Genomic DNA, 26443 nt, shown 5'->3' on the forward strand with positions numbered 1-26443 from the left:
GGCAAAAGGAAGAGACCCTCTCTCAAAAAAAAGAAAAGAAAAGAAAGAAATGCCTATCAACACATGCTTAATGCTATAAAATTAATGAAACTATTATAGGGAGAATGTTCTAGTTTGGGGCTTATTAACACTATTTTTAAGTAAAACTAACATCTGTGGCTTTTTCCCCCAGGAGATTGATGATTATATTGTACAAGCAAAGGAACGAGGCTATGAAACCATGGTAAACTTTGGACGGCAAGGTTTAAACCTTGCAGCTACTGCTGCTGTTACTGCAGCAGTAAAGGTAATTGTTCATTTACCTTTTTAATCCAATGTCATATTAAGTCAACAAATAAAGGTGGCTTCTTATTTCAAACCATTATAAAATTGTGGCATTTTGCTATATTTATTTTTCTAATACTGGAAAACAAGTAAATAATTTTAAAGATATTTTAATTTTGTGTTTTCCATACTTGATATTTTGAATCTCTTAATTCATCACAAAATGAGGTCGTTAATAAATAATACATACCTGAAAATGTCATTTAGTCATAATTTTCCCACTTAATCACCTTAAAGTAGTTTGAGTAAATCACCTGATGTAAAGATGACCATTGTTTATTTCTCTGTCTTTGGTGTTCTTTCTCTCTCTTTTTTTCTGTCTCTTTGTCAATGGCAATATCTTGGTAGGATTTCTGGCTTACTTCTGCACCTCTACTTCAATCAATTTGAGGTAACCGATTATTCAAAATAAGGCATGAAAAAGTCTGTTCTTAAAACTTGGTACTTAGCCAGTTACTAATGTCATTTGTTGTGTTTGCAAGCCAAGTTATCAAATGAATGTGTTCTGTAAAAATTTGCATTATGGTTTTGGATTTCTTTGCATGTTGTAATTTGTGTGATTTATTTTAAATACTTTAGCATAATTGATTTTGGTGTGTTTGGTATGGAAAGAAAATAGCCTTCTGTGTTCCTTAGTTGCTTCATGTATAAAATGGGGGTAATATACCTGTGAGAATATTTAAAAGCACAGTGCTTGCTTGCATATAGTAGGAGCCCAATAAACATAAATATCATGTGTCTATCTCCATTCAAAATTCAAGTGAAAATTTAAGTTTTTTGCTATTAAATTAAATTGAGATTGAATAGTATTCTGCTTTCAAGTTAGTCTGTTTTAGTTATCTTGAACTAAAACAACTCTATGGAAATAAATATTCCAGTTGAGTGGTGATTTTATATAACTAATAGTGAAGGGATATGAAATGAGGGCACTTTCACTTTTCAGAGAGGTCTTTGACTCAAGTATCAAAATGAATGTAATGAACAAGAAGGAAAATTCAAATTATATACCTAATAGCATTACATTGAGGGTTAAATGGAAGTTTATTAACTATGCAGCACTATACATGTAAGATAACTATATTATTAATGATTATTAATGGTCAGCACTTTAATATAGCATAGTTTTCTTGTTATTTGGCTTTTAAAGGCTTTTTCTTTTATTAGGATAGGTTTATAAATGAATACAGAAATAGCAAAGTTTTCAGCTTAAAGGACTATGTTTTATTTTAGAAGTTCATTTTGTTTTTTATTTCTTGCTTAGTGAAAATGCATTCCTGATTTCCATATCTGCTAAAAAAGATTATCCAGGAGATAATCCAGCCACTGGGAATTCTAAAAAGAGGGAATAGATGCAATTATCAAAGAAATAATACAATAATATTTCCCAGAACTGAAGGATATGAATCTTCAGATTGAAAGGACCCACCAAGTACTTAGCACAATGAATGAAAAGAATGACTGACTCTAAGTGAAGTCATTGGGTATCCCAAAACACCAGTGATAAGGAAAGAATTCATAAAGATTCCAAATATAAAAAGCATGTCACATTTGGCCAGGCACAGTGGCTCACACATGTAATCCCAGCACTTTGGGAGGCCGAGGCAGATGGATCACTTAAGGTCAGGAATTCAGACCAGCCTGGCCAACATGGTGAAACCCCGTCTCTACTAAAAATACAAAGATTAGCTGGGCGTGGTGGGGGGGCGCCTGTAATCCCAGCTACTCGGGAGGCTGAGGCAGGAGAATTGCTTGAACCCGGGAGGCGGAGGCTGCACTGAGCCAAGATCACACCACTATACTCCAGCCTGGGTGACAGAGCGAGACTCCATCTCAAAAAAAAAGCATGTCACATTTAAATGATGTAGAATCAGAATGACATTAAATTTCTAAACAGTGACAGTGAAAGCTTGAAGACAGTAATACCATCCATGATACCATCATGATTTTCACCCTCAAGAACTATTAACAGTCAAGCTCTCAATTGTGTTAGCTTAGAATTAAGAAATTTCTTAATTCTAGGCATGCAGAGTCACAAGATTTACCTACTGGTTATCTTTTGTCCAGGCAGATATGCTCCCCAGAGCTAGGGAATGGTCCACAAAAAAGAAAACCCATGGGATCTGGGAAACAAGTCATTCAGCACAGAAAGGAGATGACAAAAATTCCCAAAGAGAACACCACACAGCAAGTCCAAAGTGCAGCCAGCCAAAACTGGATGTGGTGGATGAAAGGTGCCAGGAGGGATGTCTCTGGTAGACCTACAAAGCCAAGAGGATTTTTCGTGCTGCACAGGGATGATACTAAAACCAGTGAGAGGCTGGGCGTGGTGGCTCACACCTGTAATCCCAGCACTTTGGGAGGCCGAGGTAGGTGGATCACCTGAGGTCAGGAGTTCAAGACCATCCTGGCCAACGTGGTGAAACCCAGTTTCTACTAAAAATTCAAAAAAATTAGCTGGACATGGTGGTGGGCACCTGTAGTCCCAGCTACTCAGGAGGCCAAGACAGGAGAATCGCTTGAACCTGGGAGATGGAGGTTGCAGTGAGCCAAGATCACGCCATTGCACTCCAGCCTAGGTGACAAGAGTGAAACTCCATCTCAAAAAATACTAATAATAAAATAAATAAATAAATAATAAAAAATAAAAGCAGGGACTCTGAGGGCATGCTTCAACCAGATGACACATTGGCTGTAGGCCACTGGTGCCCATGTAGCTGCACATGATCCCTGAGCACCATGAAAAAATACATTGGCGGCAATGTAAAGAGGAAGAGGGTAAGACAATGAAAAAGGAAAAAAAAAGGCATAATCATTAACTCTGGGGAAAAAAGTTACATAAGAAATGAAATAATGGAGTATGACTGCATTTACATTATAATAATGAACACAGACTAAGGATTTAACAACTGTGGTTTTGCCATATTGAGAGTATGGGGGAAAGAGAAGGAAAGTGGAAGAGAACTAAAATCCTCATTTGTTACAGTAGGAAAGTAGAGGGTTTAAAGGAGTTGCATCGGCAGCGGATGAAGAGGAGAAGGAGACTAAGAGCTTGTTGCTTTTTGCTATAAAATTTAGCATTTTTGATTTTGCAAATCAAGTGCATGTATTTATTTACACCCAATGAAGATGCTATCTGAATTTTTCATATTTAAAAGCATCCTTCAACATGGTTCTATGGAGAAAAACTGAAAATTAAATTTCAAGTTGAAAAATTATTTAGAGAACACATTTTAGAATATTGTCTCAAAAAACAAAGAAGCATACAAATCCCATTTTTCCTCCTCACTTTTAACATTTGTGTATAATAATCTATTATTCTCCTATTTTGTGAGACACCATTGTACATATTGTGACTATTTTGTGCAGTACTTGTTTTATTTTGACTTGTGTTTACTACTCCCACGTAGGGCATCAGCAGTCCCCACTCTATTATCTTATCCTCATTCCCTTCCTCATTTATTTTTATCTTACACTTCGCCTCCATTGGTATTTAGCATTCTACATATTATTTATTCAGCATCTGTTTATTTAATGCCTACTGCATAGTAGGTACTGGGAATGTAGCAATGAACAAGATAGATATAGCCCTCACCTGCACAATCTACTGTCTGTCTGGAGCTAATGTCTGTATTAGCTAGGGAATAGCCCACAAAAATTTTATTTCTAACTGAAAATTTTATTTCACCTCTGGTTGATAAGACCCCACCCATGGCTGGGCGCAGTGGCTCACACCTGTAATCCCAGCACTTTGGGAGGCTGAGGCGGGCGGATCACAAGGTCAGGAGATTGAGACCATCCTGGCTAACACAGTGAAACCCCATCTCTACTAAAAATACAAAAAATTAGGTGGGCGTGGTGGTGGGTGCCTGTAGTCCCAGCAACTCGGGAGGCTGAGGCAGGAGAATGGTGTGAACCCAGGAGGCGGAGCTTGCAGTGAGCCGAGATCGCGCCACTGCACTCCAGCCTGGGTGAGAGTGCAAGACTCTGTCTCAAAAAAAAAAAAAAAAAAAAAAGACCCCACCCATTACCCTTCATTATTAAAATAAGCATTATCTCACAGGAATACTTTTCTGTAAAAATGCCACGAAAACAAAAATGTGTCTATTTCATATATCTATTTTTCTGGCTCTCTTGTGATTTATTCTTTTAATTTATACGTTTAACACCTTAAAATCACGTGTTTTAATTTATACGTTAACACCTTAAAATCACGTGTCCACCCCAAAGGCAGTAATATTGATAAAAATCATCTAAGTCACTCCTGCAAAACAAGTAGAAGCCCATATCCCCTAAATGAAATCAGATACTGGATTTGGAACTGTTCCCATTTGTTTGCAATGTTGTGATTCTTTTATCCATAACATCCCTGTATGTAAGGTAACCTTCATTATTCTCATGAGTACCGGAATGTTGGAGACCCCATCCTGGAGTCTATATTATTCACTAGCATATTCATTAAATATGCTGAACATAGCGTAATGTTAACCCTATTTGCCTCAAGTTATACTGTGCTTATTTTAAAGTACATGAAATTAGTTTCATCTCTGCAGATGTCAAACAAGGGCATTGTCATAGAAGAATCACTGAACCAGACACTTCATACTGAAGAGTAAATTGAAACTGAAATAGGAAATAGGTCAGGTTTAAGGAGAAGCTGCAAGAAAGCCAACAGTAAGATCTGAAAATTATTTAACATTTTTACAATATATAGTTTGTTTAAAGTATCTTTCAGGCTTAAAATTCTTGGACTCTTGGTGTGACCTTTGAAGAACGGGTAATAACGCTGACTAGGTTTCCCAGGTTGAACCACCTGAGCATGTTAAAGGTGAAAATAGGAATCTAATCAGAACATTTATTACACCGTAAAGCAATTTTCTGAAAATGTTACTCAGTTCTATGACCTCATTACCAGGCATCTGTTCGCAAGGTCACTGTACAAGTTTATTTTGGCTGAGCAAAGCATAAACATTTGAAGGACCTTCAAGGATTTTGCTGAGGATGTACAGCATTCCATAGCTTTTCACATGAGAAACATAGGTGGTTTCGTGCAGATGAGCAACACTACTGCCAGATGAAGGACAGATGAAGAAAAGTACTGTTAGTTGTATTAACCATGTCTTTGAATTTCTCTGGCAGCCTTTTTTTGGTGAATTTCTTTAGCAGATATAAGAAATCAGTTACCACAGACTTTTGAGCTTTACAGGTAAAATTGTTGAAATCTAATTAACTTTAAATGATCCCGATTAGGTCAAAAATCCGAACATCTTACTGTCTATGACTTTCTGTTTGTGAATGGCTTTGAGGATATACAGCTTAGTATTATACACTTAAAAAAAAAGGGAAGAATGTTTGTCCAGACAATGGAAAAAGAAGGTTGTACTATTTTTCCTAAAATCTAGGGAAGCAGAATGGTATAACAAACATTGAATGCTACAGCAATTGAGTTAATCTGGATTTTTTTTAGTGCTGATTCCACCACAAATTAGCCACGAGATTTTGGGCAAATCATCTGCATTGATCTAAGCATTAATTTTTCTCACTTGTAAAACGAAGAGGTGAAACATGATTTCTAAAACCCCTTATATCTCTAAAACAGTGGTTCTCAACTAGAGGCAATTTTGTGCCCCTACCCTTACCACGGGACATTTTAGGTTGTCACCACTGAGAGGGGGCTGCTACTGGTATCTAGTCGGTAAAGAATGGTCAGGGATGCTGCTTAATATTCTACAAAGCACAGGACGTTCCCCACAACAAAAAATTATCTAACAAAAAATAGCAAGAGTGTTAAGGTTGAGAAACTGCTCTAAAAGTATGATGAGTCAGAAAAAACTAAAAGAATATATAAATATGTATAAGTAGTTTTGGTGGTAGGTTACAAATAATTTTTACTTCCTTTTTAAAATTTTTCTCCATGTTATCAATGTTCTTCAGTAAATACGTATTGCTTTAAACTCACTAAAATATTTTATTCACCTAATGCAAATGCAGTCAATTCCATTCTGGGCTTGATCAGATTAATTGTTAAATGTGCATGGGGAAATGAGATTTCCCTAAAAACTGGGAACTAACCTTATCTGCAATTATAATGTAACATCAGGGATCAACAAGAAATAGAGCTTAGTGGCTATTCTTTACTGAATAGTATAATAAGAATTATTCTGTAAAAGAATGTTTTGTGCTTGTACGATTATAAAGCATTGCTGGTTATATGTTTTTAAATCTGTGATTTAAAATGTGAAGAAAATAAAGGTTTTATACAAAGGTGCTGATAAACAAAATAAGTTCTTATTTAAAACAAAATAACTAATGTTAATGTAGTGTTTAACCAGGAAATGAAGTATTTAAACAAAGACAGCATTATTTGAGTGTAAAGAAATTGGAATTACTCATACATGCAGGGCCCCTTTTTATGGATGCCAACCACGTGCTTGGATACTTGAGTAGACATTCAGATGTCCTAGTGCCCTTGGATGTAAATGAGCTCTGTGTGGAGCCAGTGTGGGGAGCTGCTTCTCAGCTGAAGAATCCCTTCCAGAGCCTGAGTGTGCTAGCTCTGGACCCAGCCCTCCTGCCCAGTCAGCCCCTGCAGTATTCTCAGTTTCTTACAGAGGCATTTGGGCCCACCTAAATCCAAAACCTGAGAATTTAGTGCCAGCTGAAGTTCAGATGGTTCAGAAACAGTTCTGCTCACGATGATCAGTTTCAATGTGTAAAATATTCTACAGAATACTTAATTACCTGGACTTTTACATTCTCATCATAATCTCTGTTACTTTGATTGTTAGGATCAATTTTAACATACACAGAGTACAGACAATTCTGCAGAGAATAGGATCTAAAGTGCTGAAATATGGAATTATCTTGTGAATGGTAATCCCGCCTTTCCTCTTTATTGACTAAGACCGCTGTTTCCATACAGCAGACTAGACTAGAACTTTTCTTTTTCTTTCTTTCTTTTTCTTTCTTTCCTTTCTTTCTTTCTCTCTCTCTGTCTCTCTCTTTCTCCCTCTCTTTGTTTCTTTCTCTCTCTCTCTTTCTTTCTTTGTCTTTCTTTCTTTCTGTCTTTCTTCTTTCCTTTTTTAGAGACAGGGTCTCGCTCTATCACCCAGGCTGGAGTGCAGAGTTGTGATCACAGCTCACTAAGGCCTCAAACTCCTGGCCTCATGTGATCCTCCCACCTTGGCCTCCCAAAGTGTTGGAATTGCAGGCGTGAGCCACTGCACCAGGTCCTTTTCTCATTTTTCTTATACTTTTGTCTTAATATTATATAAATTAAATAGAAGAAAATAGATACACAAAGCATTATTAATTTAAACAAAACCAATCCCTTTTAGCATTGTTATTTACAAGTGACTATAATGTTCTATTTGTGGCCTCAAAAATAGACATTTTTATTTTATTGATGGGAATAAAGCATTAGATACAGGACACATGAGTGAGAAATGGATTGGAAATTCTTATAGTATGCCACATATTGACTAATTTTGTAATATTAAAGACAATATTTTAAAAAAGGAAAAAAGTCACCCATCCCATCTGCCTAAACATTGTACTGTTGTTAGTTTTGCATTTTTCCATGCCTACTTATAGCCATACTGCATACTTGCAATCATATTATGCATGTGCTATAGAATTCTGGGGTAGAGGGAAGATATCTCCACTTACCGTTAATATAGCAAACATAGTTCCTTTATTACTGGACTTTTTGTGCTGAAGATGTAAAAACTGGAAGGAATAAGGTAGTCTTCAGAAGTGATTACTTTGTAATTATACCCATCCTTTAAACTGGTTACATTGGATACATGTAATTTACGTAATGTTTTCAAAGTCCACAATATTGCACCAATTTCTCTCTTATATTAGTTTTATTCTGGATCCATAAAAAATATACAGTGGAAAGTCCAATTTTCCAAGGTAATAATGGCTGTTAAAGTGTTGGAGGTTCTCAAAGAGGGCTCATATTCCCTTTTTGCTTTTCCCTACAGTGCCTGGCTTTCCTGAAAGCCTTGAAGAGGTTGATAATACTTGGGTATTGATAATAGTAGCATTGGTTACTCAAGAGCTAAATTTAAATCCAGCCTTTAGATAGATCACCCAGATACCTCAAGGTTGGGCCTTGCCTTGCTCATGTTTATTCTGAACCTGAAGCAAACCCTTGGTAGGTGGTGTAGTCTATCCATGGAGAAACCTGTGGCCATACCTGTAGTTTGCTGCTGAACCTCTGCAAAAAACCTACAGTGTTTACATTAAAACATGCTGCCATCTATGGAGAAGTCTTTAACAGTCAAGAGTAATGAAAAAGAAGGGACATAAAAAGAGTATTTAGTTTACTTATTACATGCTCAATATCAGTAGCATACCAGGCACACCAGGAGAATAGAAGAAGCCTAAGATTTGTCCCTCTCCTCTAGTGTCTTAAAAGTCTTGCTCTGGAGGCAAAATATACCTATCCCAACAATAGAAGTAACAGTAGTACGTGAGTTCATTTGTGAGGTATATCCCAAGAGATTTGTTGATTATGCTTGTTAAACATACCAAAGTTTGGGGATGATATAATTATAAAGCTAGACTGATTCCATTGTACTTTGAGTCATTTGTATCCTGAAATGTACCTTCTTGAGTGGGAGGGTTTGGGAATTATAGCCAGCCTTGGAAATCGCATGTGAATTGAGTAAAGGGTATCATGGACATGCATGTCATTTGTCATCTGTGTGGCAGTAAATAAAGAAATCAGAAATTGCTGAGAGAAGGCACAGAACTACGAAGATGAAATAAAGAGAATGACATTTCTGAGAAACAAGGCATCCGTTTCAGATGAACACTGGTCACTTCCTCGTAGTATGTCTCTGGAGTCTTCTGTCAACTATCTGTTTGATAAGTAAATGATATCTAATAAGGAGGAAGCAAGTATAATAAATTAATCCATGCCACAAATGTTTTTTAAATGTGTGAAATCCAATTATTTTTATTGAGAATAAAGTCCTTTAATGATTTCGTATCACAATTCAAAAATATGGTAGAAATACGCAGCTCAAGTGGGATATGGAAATGGCATTTGGTTTTGACATAATATATTATTAACCCAAAGTAACTGAATCAAGACTCATAAATTAAGACCTTTCTCTTGAGTGTAAAATATAAGTTAACTGTAATGCCCAAATGTTTGTAGCACCTTTGACTTTGAAATTTAGAGATGAAGCATTATGGATTAGTTTCTCTGGTAACACTGTAACTAGAGGAAATCATAAATTCACATGTGTGAAACGAAGAAATAATAAGTATAAAAAACCCCTTAGAAGAATATTTTTAATCTAGCTATAAATAAGAAGTGACTCATCTATATGCTATGCAAATTTAAAGTAGGTAAATTTAGAATTTTTTTTTCTTTTTTTGCTTTTACAAAGCTTTATACTTTAGGAGGGGAAATGTAGTTATACATGAACAGTTCAGAAAATGCCTCTTTCAGAGCTGCTGTGATGGAAATGTTCTGTGTCTGCACTATCCAATACAGTAGCCACTAGCCACACACAGCTATTGAACATTTGAAAAGTGGCTAGTGCAATTAAAGAACTGAATATTATATTTTATTTAACTTTACTTAATTTCAACTTAAATACCCACCTGTGCCTAGTGTCTGCCATATTGTTAAGGGAAAGGACTTAAAGTCAAATGTAGAGTAGTAGATATGTCTTGCCAGATAGTTAATTCACTAATTGACTATCATTTTGTATTCAAGATTCTTTGGCTCTTACATGTTTCTAACTTGTTCTAGGAAGAGCCGTTACCAGTCCTGACTTAGCTTAGCTTTAAAACAATGTCATGTCTCTTTTACTTTAAAAAGTTGCCCTTGGCCGGGCACGGTGGCTCACGTCTGTAATCCCAGCACTTTGGGAGGCCGAGGCAGGCGGATCACGAGTTCAGGAGATCGAGACCATCCTGGCTAACACAGTGAAACCCCATCTCTACTAAAAATACAAAAAATTAGCCAGGCGTGGTGGTGGGCGCCTGTAGTCCCAGCTACTGGAGGGGCTGAGGCAGGAGAATGGTGTGAACCTGGGAGGCGGAGCTTGCAGTGAGCCGAGATTGCGCCACTGCACTCCAGCTTGGGCGACAAAGCGAGACTCTGTCTCAAAAAAAAAAAAAAAAAGTTGCCCTTGGCCGGGCTTAGTGGCTCACATCTAAAATCTCAGCACTTTGGGAAGGCCAAGGCAGGCAGATCCCCTGAGGTCTGGAGCTCAAGACCAGCCTGGCCAACATGGCGAAACCCCATCTCTGTTAAAAATACAAAAATTAGCTGGATATGGTGGCACATGCCTGTAATCCCAGCTACTCGGGAGACTGAGGCAGGAGAAACGTTTGAACCTGGGAGGTAGAGGTTGCAGTAGCCAAGATCACGCCACTGCATTCCAGCCTGGGCAACGGAGTGAGACTCTGTCTCTAAATAAATAAATAAATAAATATAAATAAATAAAACAAAAAATTAAAAGTTGCCCTAAATATTAAAGTTTAAGCCCCAAAGTGCTAGTTTTAGGAGACATCAACATTATGGATGCTGTTTACTCTGAGGGTAAGCCCATCATACATCTTTTACATTTTAAAATTAAATATGATGCTGAAATGTTGAGGTTGAAATATACTGATGTCTCCAACTTACTTTGAAATGCATGAAAAAATAAAATGAATTCATGGATAGGTAGATGGTAGGTATGTGAGAAAGCAGATACCGCAAAATGTAAACAATATTGGGTGTTCATTGTACAATTCTTTCAGCTTTTCTGAAGTTATCTTAATAAAATGTTCAGGGATAGTTAAATGTAAGCATACTAAATATTTTTTCTTGGACCTATCACTTCTCTGTTAAATAGAGCCAAGGAGCAATAACTGAACGTTTAAGAAGCTTCAGTATGCATGATTTAACAACTATCCAAGGTGATGAGCCTGTGGGACAAAGACCATACCAACCTCTACCAGAAGCAAAAAAGAAAAGTAAACCAGCCCCCAGTGAATCAGCAGGTGTGCTTGTGTGTTTTAATATACGGTTCTTTTACATGGAAACAGGGAGGGGAACAACATACACTGGGGCCTGTCGGGGGGTGGGGCACAAGGAGAGGGAGAGCATTAGGACAAATACCTAATGCATACGGGGCTTAAAACCTAGATGATGGGTTGGTAGATGCAGCAAACCACCATGGCACATGTATACCTGTGTAACAAACCTGCGCATTCTGCACGTGTATCCTGGAACTTCCAGTAAAATTAAAATATATATATATACACGTATATATATGATTATTTCATAATTGGGCTTGTGGATAGTAAAATAATACATGATACATGATAACTATCTGAATTTAGGTAGACAAAATTTACTTCTAAGCTTATATTTTTTACTTTTACATTTAATCATAGTTCTTTTTCTCTGAATTTTCTCTAAATTAGTACTTGCTAGGCCAGGCACAGTGACTCAGGCTGGGCACAGTGGCTCACACCGTTAATCCCAGCACTTTGGGAGGCCGAGGTGGGCGGATCACGAGGTTAGGAGTTCACGACCAGCCTGGCTAACATGGTGAAACTCCGTCTCTACTAACAATACAAAAAAAATTAGCTGGGCGTGGTGGCACACGCCTGTAATCTCAGCTACTTGGGAGGCTGAGGCAGGAGAATTGCTTGAACCTTGGAGGTGGAGGTTGCAGTGAGCTGAGATGGTGCCACTGCACTCCAGCCTGGGCAACAGAGTGAGACTTTATCTCAGGAAAAAAAAAAGATTAGTACTTGCCTTTTGCTGATTCTGGAGATCATCTAGCTAACAAAGTAGCCTCTTTTGCTGCCATGAATTTTAGAAGCTGTAGGTGTGGTTACCAACACCTTCTCACCACCAGCACTAGTTCTAACCTGTAATCAATACTCTTTCTACTCGAACTGTGCACTGACATCTAAGAAGTTTTATAGTTGAACACTCTTTACTGTAAGTGCTGTGGACAAATAAGGATATTGACTCACAGATTAAAAGTTTTAAGCACGTGATAAAAGATGACTCAATTTGAAAATAAGATTACTCCCATGGAAAATGTGTTAAAATTACATATTCTAGTTCAAGAGCTAGCTTGTAGGCATATTCTAGTATAAATTATGAACATGTCATAGTTAATATATTCTAAAACTTTAAAAAACTATCATGATCTTAGAAACATACATATAAATTAGACACGGTTCCTTAGTCATTTTATCACATATAATAAGAAAGTTTTAATTCAAAGGCAAGGCTGAAAACAAAGATTTTCAAGACATTCCTTATTAATGTGTTAAGTCCATAAGGCACAGGGCTATTTTACTTTTTATTAAAAAAAGAAGTTTTCTTTTGAGAGAGATTGAAAATCATCTTTATAATTAAAATCAATTTGAAAAATAAAAATTAAAAAAACTGTTCCTTCTTAAAAAAGGAAAAATATCTCTGCAAAAAAAAATTTTTTTTTTTTTTATTAGCTGAGTATGGTGGTATTCACCGAGCTACTTGGGAGGCAGGTGGGAAAATCACTTGAGCCCAGGAAGTTGAGGCTGCAATGAGCCATGATCACACCACTGCACTCTAGCCTAGGTGACAGAGGAACACCCTTTCTCAGAAAAAAAAAAAGAAAAAGAAAAAGAAAAAATAATGAGCTTTCTTCCAAGAATGAATACCTTTACAAGTTGTGACTATTATCTAAGAGGTAATGATCAAGCATTGGCCATTGATTAAGGTAGTGATGCCTTTGAGAGAGAGGAACCATCAGTCTTAATAGTACATTAATAATGTAAAAGTAGTTCCTAATGTAGACATTTCCTTTTTTATTTTTATTTTTTTGTTTGTTTTTGTTGTTAATTTATTTATTTTGAGACAGGGTCTCACTCTGTCACCCAGGCTGGAGTGCGGTGGTACGATCTTGGCTCACTGCAGCTTTGACCTCCCAGTTTCAAGTGATTCTGTGTCAGCCTTCCGAGAAGCTGGGACTACAGGTGTGCACCACCATGCCCTGCTAATTTTTCCATTTTTTGTAGAGACGGGGCTTCACCATGTTACCCAGACTGGCCTCAAACTCCTGGGCTCAAGCAGTCTGTGTGTCTTGGCCTCCCAGAGTGCTGTGTGGGATTACAGGCATGTGCCACACTGCCTGGCCTTGGCATTTCTTAATATGCATTTAAAATTAGGTGGTCAGTCACAGTGGCTCACACCTGTAATCCCAGAACTTTGGGAGGCCGAGGCAGGCAGATTCCCTGAGGTTAGGAGTTCGAGACCAGCCTGGCCAACATGGCGAAACCCTGTCTCCACCAAAAATACAAAAATTAGCCAGGTGTGGTGGTGTATGCCTGCATTCCCAGCTACCCAGGAGGCTGAGGCAAGAGAATCACTTGAACCCAGGAGGCAAAGGCTGCAGTGAGCCGAGATTGCGCCACTGTAGTCCAGCCTGGGTGACAGAGAGAGACTCCATCTCAAAAAAAAAAAAAATTAGGTATATTGATTTTGATTGGAGTCTGCTACATATATTATATTTTGCTGATTTAGACCAGCTATCTTAGACCAGAGTCCTTTATTAGCAGTTTATTCATAATCATACCCAAGGATTGGCTAAGAATTATATTCTAATTAGGTAAATAAAAACACGTTTATAAATATGAAAATTTGTAATACTATTTTTATGGTACTCACCTATCAATTTTTTTTTTTCTTTTTGAGATGGAGTCTACCTCTGTCACCGAGGCTGGTGTGCAGTGGCACGATCTCGGCTCACTGCAACCTCCGCCTCCCAAGTTCATGCAGTTCTCCTGCCTTAGCCTCCTGAGTATCTGGGATTAAAGGCGTGCACCACCACGCCTGGCTAATTTTTATATTTTTAGTAGAGACGGGGTTTCACCATGTTGGTCAGGCTGGTCTCGACCTCCTGACCTTGTGATCTGCCCACTTCAGCTTCCCAAAGTGCAGGGATTACAGGCGTGAGCCACTGTGCCTGGCCACCTACCAAATTTTATATCTATGACTGAAATATCTTAAAATATTGACCTGCTGTTTAGTTCTTAAATTTCAAATCATGAAATTAAATAAGTTTTATAAAAATATGAAGTATGTGGTAGCAGTATAAGAAAGATATTTGTTCAGTTATGAAAGGTACTTGTTCAGAGTATAAATTCTGCCCAGTTTCCAATTTTTCTACAGAATGGTATGTATTCTGAGCCTTTCTTCCCTAAGGAAAAACTTTCATCAAAACTTTCTCTCTTGACCGTATTTTTAACAAAGCAGTATGGTTCTAGGACCGGAATAGGTGAAGAGAAGTTAAAAATAGATTGTCTAGATAGACACAAACCCAGGTGTACATGGAAATTTATCAAATGAGAAAGACTGTCTTTCAAATTGGTGGAGGAAAGACAGATTATTTAATAAGTGATGCTAGGATAACTGTTAGACTGCTAGAAGGTGGAGTAGAGAATGAAGTTATATCTCTGCCTCAAATCTTAGATTAAAATAAATTCTTAAAAGATTAAGATTTAAGTATAAAAAAATTAAACTATATAATAGGAAGTCCCTGTGAATATTTTTATAATCTTCAGATAGATAAAATTTCTTAAGCATGATATCAAAACCAGAAAACATAATGGAATAGTTTTTGAGATTTTCCTGCATAAAAAATACATAAAACTCTAATACAGGGGGAAAAAAACATAAAAAAGACAAACTACAAACTGTCAGAAATATTCCCATTATATGTTATAGGCAAAGGGTTCAGATTCAACAATCCAGTAACCCTTACAAACCAATTATTGTCAATGCTATCAAAGAATACAACTGTCAAGAAATATATGAAAGAGATTCTCAACCTCAGATAATCAAAAAATAGTAATAATAATAATTTTCGTTTGCCAGATTGGCCAAAAAAAAATGTTTTTAATTAACAGTGCTCTGTGTTGGGAACTGTTTCAGTTATCTAGTTATCTATTGCTGCATAATAAGCCACCCCAAAACAGCAGCTTGAAACAATCATGGTCATTTATTTTGCTCACAGATCTGGGGGTGACTGGACTTGGCAAAGCAGTTCTTGCTCAGGGTCTCCTGCAGCTGTGGTCTGACAGCAGCTGGGCTAGAGTCATAATCTCAAAGAGAGCTCACACATCTGCTGTCTGAGCTGAAAAGAGTCAAGCAGCTGCTGGCTAGAATGGTTGGAGCCTCTCAGCCATCTCCCTCTATGTTCTCTCCATGTGGTCTCTAAGGGTGGTTGGACTTCTTACCTGGCAGCTGAAGGCTCCCAGGCCAGTGTGCCGAGAGAAACTTGCAGAAGTCCTAGAAGCAGCATCACTTCCATCACATATTTTGTGGCGATTTGTTGAGGCAAGTACAAAGGCCTCTGAGATGTTAAGGGAAGGGAAGAGGAGTGTCAGAGAATCTGTAGACATGTTTTAAAACCACACAGCAAGCCTGTTGAGAAATACTCTTAGGCACTTTTTATGAGTTTAAAATGGAATAATCCTTTTGGATGACAATCTGGCAGTAATCATCATAATTTATTCCCTTTAGCTCAGCAAGAAACTTTTAAGAATATGTCATAAGGAAATAATCAGACAAGTGTTCAAAGATGTATTTACAAGAATGTTCATCTCGTTGTTTATAATAACAAATATTGGAATGAACCAAATGCCTAGGAGAAATGATTAAGCAAAAGGTGGTTTATTAGCTGTGAAACATAACAATGTCAGTCTATACTTAATGATATGAAAACATATCCAGATTGTAGGGAAAAAAAATAATAAGTAGATGATGAAATGGATTAATATACCTAATTTTTTAAATGTATATACATAAGAGAAAGTTTGGAAGGGTATTACTAAAATGGTAACAGTGTTTAGCCCTGAGTAGTGAGCTTTTTCGTTTGTTGTTGTTGTTTAAATTAACCTATTAATCTTAAAATCAGAAGTAAATCAGCCATACTCTTCATTTTGAAAAAATAAGGTATTCATTTTCGGGTTTTAAGTTAAACAGAAAATGTTTTTTTTGTTTTTGTTTTTGTTTTTGTTTTTTAATATATTAATGGAGATGGGATATCAGTATGTTGCCCACCTCTGCTTCCCAAAGTGCTAAGATTACAGGCATGAGTCACCAAGCCCAGCCAGAAAATGTATATTTTAATGAAAATATTTGACTTGATTCTAGTGTCTCTTCTCTCTTTGATTCAAGGATTGGTTTAATAAATTGCTAAATTAAACTTTTTTTTTTTTTTTGAGGTGGAGTCTCACTCTGTCGCCCAGGCTGGAGTGCAGTGGCGCGATCTCAGCTCACTGCAGCCTCCACCTCCCAGGTTCAAGCAATTCTCTGCCTCAGCCTCCCGAGTAGCTGGGATTACAGGCACGTGCCACCACACCCAGCTAAGTTTTGTATTTTTAAGTAGAGATGGGGTTTTGCCATATTGGCCAGGCTGGTCTCAAACTACTGGCCTCATGTCATTCACCCACTCAGCCTCCCAAAGTGCTGGGATTACAGGCATGAGCCACCACACCCAGCCTAAACTTGTGGATTTCATTTCCCAATAAATTCTAAATTTGGCTCCTTGCTCTGTCCTCACTCTCTGTGGACTCTGTCATTTCTGACCTGCTATACTACAGTAACCTCCCCACTTACGCTCCCTTCCCTCAGCCTTATCCATTTCTGATTCATTTTCCAAAGCGCAAGAAGAATATTTTACAAAACCCAACTCTAATCATGTTACTCTTCTGCTTAAAACATTTCAATACTCTCCCCGAGCCTCCAGAGGCTTCATTGCTCTCTGACGAAGTCCAAACTAGATAGCATGGTGTATTAACTCCCCAGCCTTGTTCTCCCACTCCATCAAGTGCTAGCCATACAGAATCATGACTCTTTGAGGATTTAGCTTAGCCACCACCTCCTACAAGGCCTTCTCTCATAACCCACCCTTTCCAACCCACCCCATGCTGATTACATTCTCTTACTGTATGCCCTCTGGCACCTTGTCATTAGCTTATAGTATTTATTACAGTATCATAATGCCCATTACCGTCTGTTTCCCCTATTGGACTCTAAATTTTTTGAGGGTAGAAAAAGACAGCTGTGTCTTTTTCATCCTTGTATCCTCATAATTCAGCACACTGCCTCATTCATAATAGAATTTTAAAAATACTTGTGGAGTAATGAATCAATCCATCACTTTTCCTGAAGCTATAATTAGATAGCTAATAAGATTTTTTTTAGCTGGAATTAGGAAAAAAGAAAAGAATAAGATGTATAATCAGCTTTTGAATGAAATTCCAATTCCTAATCATACAAAATGAGAGGCAGTTAAAATAGCAAGGACTGGGTTTGTTGAACTGTGCTCTTATGCTACATTTGTGGCCTTAGAGAAATTGTTTATCACAGTTACTTCCTTTCTGACTTTTTCCTTGATTCCTCATTCTGTTTTACCATATTAGGATCAGGAATACTATATAAGCAAACATCAATAGGAAAAAAAATCTAGAAATGACAACCTAAACCTGAAGCCTGGTTTATTTTTCTCAATTATAAAATAAACATTTTTTAAAAATAAGAATTTGGCAAGTAAAAAAAGAAAAAATGAAAAAATTTAAAATCACCTGAAAGCTCACTTCCATGAGATATAATCCTTTCATTTATGTTTTTCCTTTGTTTGTTTCTATATGTACATTTTTTTTTTCCACACTTAATATTGCTTCAGGAGCTTTTTTCCAGGACCACTGATCCATCCCCTTCCTTGCCACACTGGCCTCCTTGCAGTTCTTCCAAGCAATCCCCAAGCCCTAGCTACTCTCCTCACTGCCTCTGTGCATGCTGTTTCTTCCACCCGGAACACACACACTTCCTTGGACCACTGCAAGAAAACAAAGGATCTTGGCCTAAATAAGGACTGATTCCACTTCCAAATCTCCTCTGACTTCTAGCCTAGAAGTCTAAGAACATAAAATTATACCTGACTAATATACAATGCAAGTTGCTTATGTTATTATGAGAGTAACAAGCTTATTAACAACTCTTTGTAGTTTGCTTAGTGTTTCTCAAATTATTCGTGTCTTAGAAGAGCAGACCAATAAACATGTATTCAATTTTTTTAATATGTATATTTTTTGAAACAGGCTATAATGCAGTGGCATGATCACAGCTCACTGCAGCCTTGACTTCCCAGGCTCAGGTGATCCTCCTACCTCAGCCTTTGGAGGAGCTGGGACTACAGGTGCACAACACCATACCCGGCTAATTTTTGTATTTTTTGTAGAGAAAAGGTTTTACCATGTTGCCCAGGCTGATCTCAAACTCCTAAGCTTAAGCGAACCACCTGCCTTGACCTCCCAAAGTGCTGGCATTACAGGCATGAGCCACCAAAGCCCACCCCAGTTTTATTTTTTATCAGCATGAGCCACCAAAGCCCACCCCAGTTTTATTTTTTATCACATGCACGGAATCTATCCCGTGCCTTCTCCTAAGCCTGGAAATCCTTCTACTCTTTTTTTTTTTTTTTTTTTTTTTTTTTAAAGAGATGGAGTCTTGCTCTGTCACCCAAGCTGGAGTGCAGTGGTGCAATCTCAGCTCACTGCAACCTCCACCTCCTGGGTTCAAGCGATTCTCCTGCCTCAGCCTCCCAAGTAGCTGGGATTACAGACTCCTGCCACCACGCCCAGCTAATTTCTGTGTTTTTAGTAGAGTCGGGTGTTTCACCATGTTGGCCAGGCTGGTCTCGAACTCCTGACCTCAGGTGATCCGCCCACCTTGGCCTCCCGAAGTGCTGGGATTACAGGTGTGAGCCACTGCGCCTGGCTGTAAGTCCTTCCACTTTCTCCTCACCTGACAATTTAAGTATTTATGCTCCTTATGCTCCTTATTTTTATTAAAGGAGAATTTATAACTTCATGGGGATTTCTTTCCTTCTTCTTTTTTTTTTTTTTTTTTTTTTTTTTGAGATGGAGTCTCGCTCTGTCACCCAGGCTGGAGTGCAGTGGCGCGATCTCAGCTCACTGCAAGCTCCGCCTCCCGGATTCATGCCATTCTCCTGCCCCAGCTTCCCGAGTAGCTGGGACTACAGGCGCCTGCCTCCATGCTTGGCTAATTTTTTTTGTATTTTCAGTAGAGACAGGGTTTCACCATGTTAGCCAGGATGGTCTTGATCTCCTGACCTCATGATCCACCCGCCTGGGCCTCCCAAAGTGCTGGGATTACAGGCGTGAGCCACCATGCCCGGCCTCTTCATGGGGATTTCTAATCTCACCCCTTTCTTTATAACCTACTTAGTACTCTGGTTGTCTGAGACTTGGGCCCCTGTCTTGCTGTCTCCAGCATCCTCAGGCAGTGGTTCTCAAAGTGTGGACCACAGACCATGAGCACAAGCATTACCTGGGAACTTGTCAGAAATGCAGATTCTCAGCCCCACCTCAAATCTGCTGAATCAGAAATTCTGGGGTTGTCAGAACTTGTATTAACAGGTTCTCAAGGTAACTCTGACGTGCTCAAGTTTGAGAACCTCAGCTTCAGGGTTGGAAGAGTTTTCGTCCTTGAGGCCAAGCCTCAAGATGCTCTCAGACTTCCTGACTGTGTGGATGTTTGCATATTGGCCCGTAGTAAGTCTTTATAGCTACACATAACAGCCTTCTAGCATACTCGCGTGATCTCTCACTGATCTGCCTGATTCTATTTTCTTTGACTAGTATCTGTCACACAGTCTGTGGTACTTCTAATTACTGCAGCCTACCTGGCTGGGTTTTATCTCAGCAACTGCAATAGCAGCTAACATCCCCATCCTCATCACCTGCCCCCAGTGACCTTATTTTGCCCAAAGTTCTAGCCCCCTGGGGTCTTCCTCAATGCCTTAAGTAAACCCTACCATTCCCAGTCTTGACAAAAGATACGACACATAGAACGGAAAAGCCTTAATTCCTAATTCAAGGCAAAAGTGCAAATGACAGACTAAAACACAAATGCTTGGGTTGAATTCATGAAGAGGAGGAAAGGTGGGAAGAGACTTTTTGCTCTATATCTATTTATATTCTTGAATTTTTTAACAAGATGGTGTGTTACCTACTCAAAAATAAATTATTTTATAATTATTTTTAAAAATGCATAGTAAAAATAAGAATGATCAGGGAAAATTTCCTGGAGGAAATGAGTTATGAGTTTCACCTGGAATAGTGCGAGGCAAAGCTTAATGATAAAGGGCATGGAGCACATTCCAGATGCAAAAAGAGTAACTGGGGGAAATGCAAACCATACAAAGAACTGTACACAGATGGGTCAAAGAGCCGGCGCTGACTGGTGTCCTTTTACCAAAACATGCTGTTTTTGACAACTTGTTTAGGTTATGGAATTCCACTGAAAGACGGAGATGAGAAAACAGATGAAGAAGCAGAGGGGCCATATTCAGATAATGAGATGTTAACACACAAAGGGCTTCGAAGATCGCAAAGCATGAAATCTGTGAAAACCACCAAAGGCCGCAAAGAGGTTGGTTAAGTGTAGAGCTGTTTTCCTAATGATTAGTGAAGGATTTCCCTGCTGTGTTATCATTTAGGATATTAATGATCCATAAATGAAGGATTGGAATGGTAGAACAGCAGTTTGATTTTTTTTTTTTTTTTTTTTTTTTTTAGTTTTTGGGGATAGAGCTTTTTTGCTTTGTCAACCAAATTGGAGTGCAGTGTGGCGTAATCACAGTTCACTCAAACTCCTGGGCTCAAGCAGTCCTCCCACCTCAATCTCCCAAGTAGCTGGAACTACAGGCACATGCCACCGCACCTGGCTAATTTTTTCATTTTTTGTAGAGACAGGGTTTCACCATGTTGCCCAGGCTGGTCTTGAACACCTGGCCTCAAGCAATCCTCTCGCCTCCGCCTCTCGAAGTGCTGGGATTCCAGGCGTGAGCCACCTCACCTGGCCAGCAGTTTATATTTAAAATTCTTTATTCAGATCAATGTATCAGGATATCAGGAAATTTTGAAAATGGTAAACTCTTAATCTTCTGCTATACGTAGAAAATGGCATTCTCATTTAGCAAATCACATAGTTCAAATACCCAGTCCCAGCCCTATGCATAAACAAAGAAAGCAATGAATAAAATTAACCACACAGTTTTGCTTTCAACTAATGCTACATGAAGATTAAATAGTAAACAGTTAACCATAATAACATATTGTCTTTATACCCAGAAAGCAGTGGAGGACTGTGAATGGCCTCTGATCATTATAATCAATGTTCATTGACATTGTACTAAGCAAAACATAAATAATAGGATTAATGTTTTTATGTTATTAGTAATAATCTGTAACATATATCTAAATATTACCAACTACATTTTTTATGAGTTTATAAGTAGTGCTGTCTTATATACATTTATTAAGAGAATTCATTCTTTATATCAAAAAGGTAAAAAAATTACTATGATTATGAACTATTAAATCTGATGTAATTTTTTAAAGTAATCATCTAATTCTTAATAATAAAACATTTCTCTCTTCAGGTGCGGTACGGGTCACTAAAATACAAAGTGAAGAAACGACCACAAGTGTATTTTTAGTCATCTACACGTCAAATATCCCAAGACAGATTATGCTAAATACATCGACTTCATCTTCTAACATGATATATTCAGGATTTACACATTAAAATGATTATTTAAATTGTGGCAGTGATGGGGTTTACTTTCATGAATTTAAATTGTTTTTATTTCTGTAACAATTGCTTCCAAATATTGACTACTAAAGGCAGTTCTGCAAGATGTACTAAATATGTATATTAGAAATTATAGAAAATCATGTTGTCCGTTTTCAAATTCATCAACAGCCTAGAGTGCCTGAGATATAAGATGAAACACAAATCCACAGTATACTTGAAAGGAGCCTTTTTACGGTTCAGGATAAATCAGCCTTTGTGATGTACTGTGTTTACCTCCTTTTGTGTTGTATCTGGTAATTAAATAGGCCTCAGATTCAGCAGTGACATAACAAGGACATAATGTAAGATAATAAAGTAGGTTTTATATATTCTTTAAATTTTTACTTATATAATACTTTCTAGTTTTTCCACCATCAGCTGAAAGTTTTTGAAACAAATATTTGAAAACCAGGTATCCACACATAGCACTTTTATTCCTGACTAGTTTTGCACACTTGAAAATTGTTTACTTATTTTACAACTGTTTTACTGATGCTATCTTTATTGTTTTTGCCGTATTCTGACATGTCAAATCTATGCCTTGAATTATATCATCTCTTTTCCTGTGGGTTTCATTTGTTAAATTCATTGGATTTTAATAATATAAAAGTATAGCTAATTGTTCAGTTTTAACTATTTTTAATTATCTTCTTAACAAATAAGAAGTTGCTTTAAACATTAACCAATTTTCTATATTTAGCTATACAGAGTAATTGAACTTAACATGTTTTTGTCAACACCAATTACATTTTCAGCTTTTAAAAATGGTAGCTTTTGTGAAATAGAATCAGTGACCAGTATAGCACTTAGATCCCTTCTAACTCATATAATTTTTCTCAGCCAATCCATTCACAAGCTTGGCATTGACATGTGCTGCTAGTTTATAAACTGGCATTGACGAAAATCATTTGAATCTCTTCTGGCTGAGATAATTTGCCAATGCAAAATACAGTTGTCATTAATCCTGCACATTAGAAATTATTAGAAACATATTACTTTTTAACTTTAAATCTCAAAGAGATTTTGAGTTATTGAATTCTTAAGGCTTTCTTAGCTTGAACTGATAACTATGCATTATGAACCCTAAGTCAATATATTTTTGGTGGTTTTAGTGATCAGTAATCAAATTTGTACTTATTATGCTTGTTCAGGTAATTTACTTGACTGTTCTATTTGTTTGTCCAAAAGATAAAATGATGAGAGAGATTCGAGAGGTCTTTGATCTGTCTCCCTTTTAAGAAATGAAGCCAGCTGGTAATGTATATTCAGGACTTCCTCAGAGTATTGGCCAAGAACATAATGTTTACACAGGAGTACCTTGGTATAATGCATACATTGTCTCATGATACTAGTCATAAAATATTTTATGGATTATTTCACATTCTTCATATATAACAAGTAAAATTAATTCAGTTTTCTTCTCCCAACGTTTAATTCTGAATAACTCTATCTACTTTACCCTAATTTTTAGCCTCTTAATTTCTGGAAGGACTCTAATTTCTATTCCAAATTTCTATGAATTCTAATTGTAAATTATCGGAACAGAGTTTTATTTATATGACCTGGTACTAGACTTCTTAATATAACTGTTACACTGTCCTTGTCTTTCCTACTCAAAGACAGTATCATCTGAAGTTGCCTAATAAGGTCATGTGAGTCAAGAACTTTATCTGTGGGAGCTGATTTGCACCATTTTACCTTTTTTTTTTTTTTTTTTTTGAGACGGAGTCTTGCTCTGTCACCAGGCTGGAGTGCAGTGGCGCGATCTCGGCTCACTACAACCTCTGCCTCCCGGGTTCGAGCGATTCTCCTGCCTCGGCCTCCCGAGTAACTGGGTCTACAGGCCCGTGCTACCACGCCCAGCTAATTTTTGTCTTTTTAGTAGAGACAGGGTTTAACCATGTTGCCCAGGATGGTCTCCATCTCTTGACCTCGTGATCCGCCCGCCTCGGCCTCCCAAACTTCTGGGATTACAGGCGTGAGCCACCGCACCCAGCCACCATTTTATCTCTCTAAAGTCTGGTCCCAGTATTAAACCTATTCTTTAGTAAACTCATATTACTGTTCTAAATTGAAGAAATTATTTATTACTCTGTACTTCTAGACTCAAAATTCTTTATCAAAGATAGTCTCAAAGAGGTAGTACAAGTCCTGTTTAACTGCACTTTTTCACATTCACAGTGCTTCCTCTGATATCTTTCCTTACATCATTATACACTGTTGATATCATTTTACTCTTCTTTCTCTTCTACATTTCTTAAATTTTGGTTCTTTTCCTGTACATGTGTTTTAGCGGGGCCCTTTTCTTTGAACTTTGTCTAATTAGCCTGTACATTTTTGTTTCTTTTAAGGTAGAACAGATCTTTTTTTGTTTCTCCTTTTAAGTCTACTGGTTTTAAAAGAGGTAAATGTATCCATAGACCACAGTGCCTTGCTTTTTCCTCTGCCAGCACATGGAGCACGGGATTAGATGCACAAACCTATTTAGGGAACTATTTTGGTAGATGTTTGAGTTTATACAGAAATTGCAGCTGGTATTTTATTTTGCTGTACATTTACTCAACTTGTCCATTAGTATTTAACTATTTCCAGAGTTTGTTTAGGAGTAAGAATTGACCCATTCGTTAGTTTACCATATTTTTTCCTGGTATAAAAAGGAGCCAGAAATAAGCCTTATTGCTAAATAATTAATTATGTAAGCCCACCTAGGTCCTGCATAAGATCCCCCTCACATACTTCACAATATATATGTGTGTGTGTGTGTGTGTGTGTGTGTGTGTGTGTGTGTGTGTATTTGGCTAAAAAATTATACTGCCAAAATTACTGATTATAAATACTTGACTACACTGATTGATGGGACAAAATGATTAAAGTATTTTCAGGGATCTTATTCCATATGTCACCACCAAAGATTTCTACAGTGTTATAAAGTATATAAATATTCCAAATTTCTGTGGTTAAATATTTTTTTCTTTTTTTTCCTTTTTTAGAATAACACAGTCTGTGCTTTCCAAAAATGCTTGAACTTTTATGTTGTTAAGAAATATATAATGATATCTTACATTAAGCATGAGTCTAATTTGTATTAATTGGGATGGACTAAATTTTCATTTGATTATCAGGAAAATTAAGGAGTTATATATTTAAAAGCAATTTTCTGTGTTTTCTTCTTTGTAAGTTGACTCATTTGTGAAGCAATTAGGCAAATTTTGAGAAGATCATTGTTATTGTGGTTTGCAGTATATATTTCTTAGTAAATATCACTTAAGATTAAATTTTTCAGAAAGAAAATTATAGCTTTTTTCCCAAAATATTTTTAAGATTTAATCTTTTTGTAGTATGCTACAGATTTAATTATATTAACTCTTTTTTAAGACATTGACCATGACTTAACATTTTGCCTTCTAACACCTTTTAAATCTATGTACTTTAATAGTTAAGAGAAAATAAGTTTGCAGATTTTTAATAATCTGTTTGTAAAAGGCTATCTCTAAGCCTAGTATGTGGGTAATTTTACAGGTGTGTTTTTTGATAACTTTAATATAAAATAAACTCATTTTATTTGTGGCAATTCGCGTTTCTTTTTTTATGCCAGAGTACATATGTTGGATTCCATGAATTGGTATTACTTATTATTATGTGTTGATTAAATATATGCACACACTTAGGATTACAGATCACAGAGCAAATTATGAAAATCATAAACATTCTGGTATGGTCATCCATAGGATTATGAAAAAGAAATACTGAATTGTTAAATTTGGATGTTAGAAAGGAAAGATAGGAAAAACAATGAGTACAGAAATCCTCACCATCAATTTGGATGGGTTAGCTGTCTCAGGCATAAAATGTAACACAAAATTCAGATTTATGTATCCTGGAAATGTTCTGGGGTTCCATCTGTTTTAAAGTTAGACGTCTGTCTGCCTCACATTTAAGCTTTAGAGAGAAATCCTATGTTTTAAGAAGTTTCTTTGTGTTACTTCATTATGACACATAATGCGTGTTAAGGTCTTTCTAGATAGCATTTTAAATGGAATTATTTTCATTTTCATTATGAGGTATATACTTGTAATGATCTAAAGAGGTTAGAAATATAAATAAAAATTCAAAAGAACACAATATATGAACGGCATTTTTTTTCAGTGTTTTAGTCTCCCTTTAAATCGTTCACTGTTCTGAAAAAAGAGATTTACAAAACAAACATCATGTCAGAGGCTGATGAATTGTTCCCTGGGAAAACATTCTACCCCTTTACCTACTCATCAGTATTTTAGTCTTAAAACACTCTCCTTATGGTCTGTCCTTGGTAACGTTTTTTAAACTGCTTTTTATAAGACAATGCTTTGAATTGAAATTTTAAAGCACAGGATTGATAATTGTCTATAAGTGTAAATAACTAAAGGACCATGCTCAACAAAAGCAGGAAAGTCA

At 37.0% G+C, this 26443-nt stretch overlaps 1 protein-coding gene and 1 long non-coding RNA gene across 4 annotated transcripts in view; one reads left to right on the forward strand and one right to left on the reverse strand.

Moving 5' to 3' along the window:
- Positions 1-26116, reverse strand: part of LOC105378329 (uncharacterized) — a 33332-nt gene extending 7216 nt beyond the window's left edge. Inside the window, exons 1-2 of the long non-coding RNA XR_001747467.3 lie at positions 25822-26116; positions 15580-15695 (exon numbers count right to left, since the gene is read on the reverse strand). This is a non-coding gene — a long non-coding RNA (uncharacterized LOC105378329). The remainder of the gene's footprint in view (positions 1-15579; positions 15696-25821) is intronic.
- Positions 1-26131, forward strand: part of REEP3 (receptor accessory protein 3) — a 103728-nt gene extending 77597 nt beyond the window's left edge. Inside the window, exons 5-8 of one of the 3 annotated variants that reach the window (NM_001001330.3) lie at positions 173-286; positions 11190-11337; positions 20658-20803; positions 21816-26131. In NM_001001330.3, coding sequence (NP_001001330.1) covers positions 173-286; positions 11190-11337; positions 20658-20803; positions 21816-21872 — 465 coding nt within the window. In that variant the 3' untranslated portion in view covers positions 21873-26131. Of the gene's footprint in view, positions 1-172; positions 287-672; positions 9259-11189; positions 11338-20657; positions 20804-21815 lie in introns of those variants that run through there. The other 2 variants (XM_017015896.2, XM_011539501.3) reach the window with 2 other exon arrangements.
- Positions 26132-26443: the final 312 nt, after the last annotated feature.

The sequence above is a fragment of the Homo sapiens genome, chromosome 10 (assembly GCF_000001405.40).
Source record: "Homo sapiens chromosome 10, GRCh38.p14 Primary Assembly".
Lineage (NCBI taxonomy): Eukaryota > Metazoa > Chordata > Mammalia > Primates > Hominidae > Homo > Homo sapiens.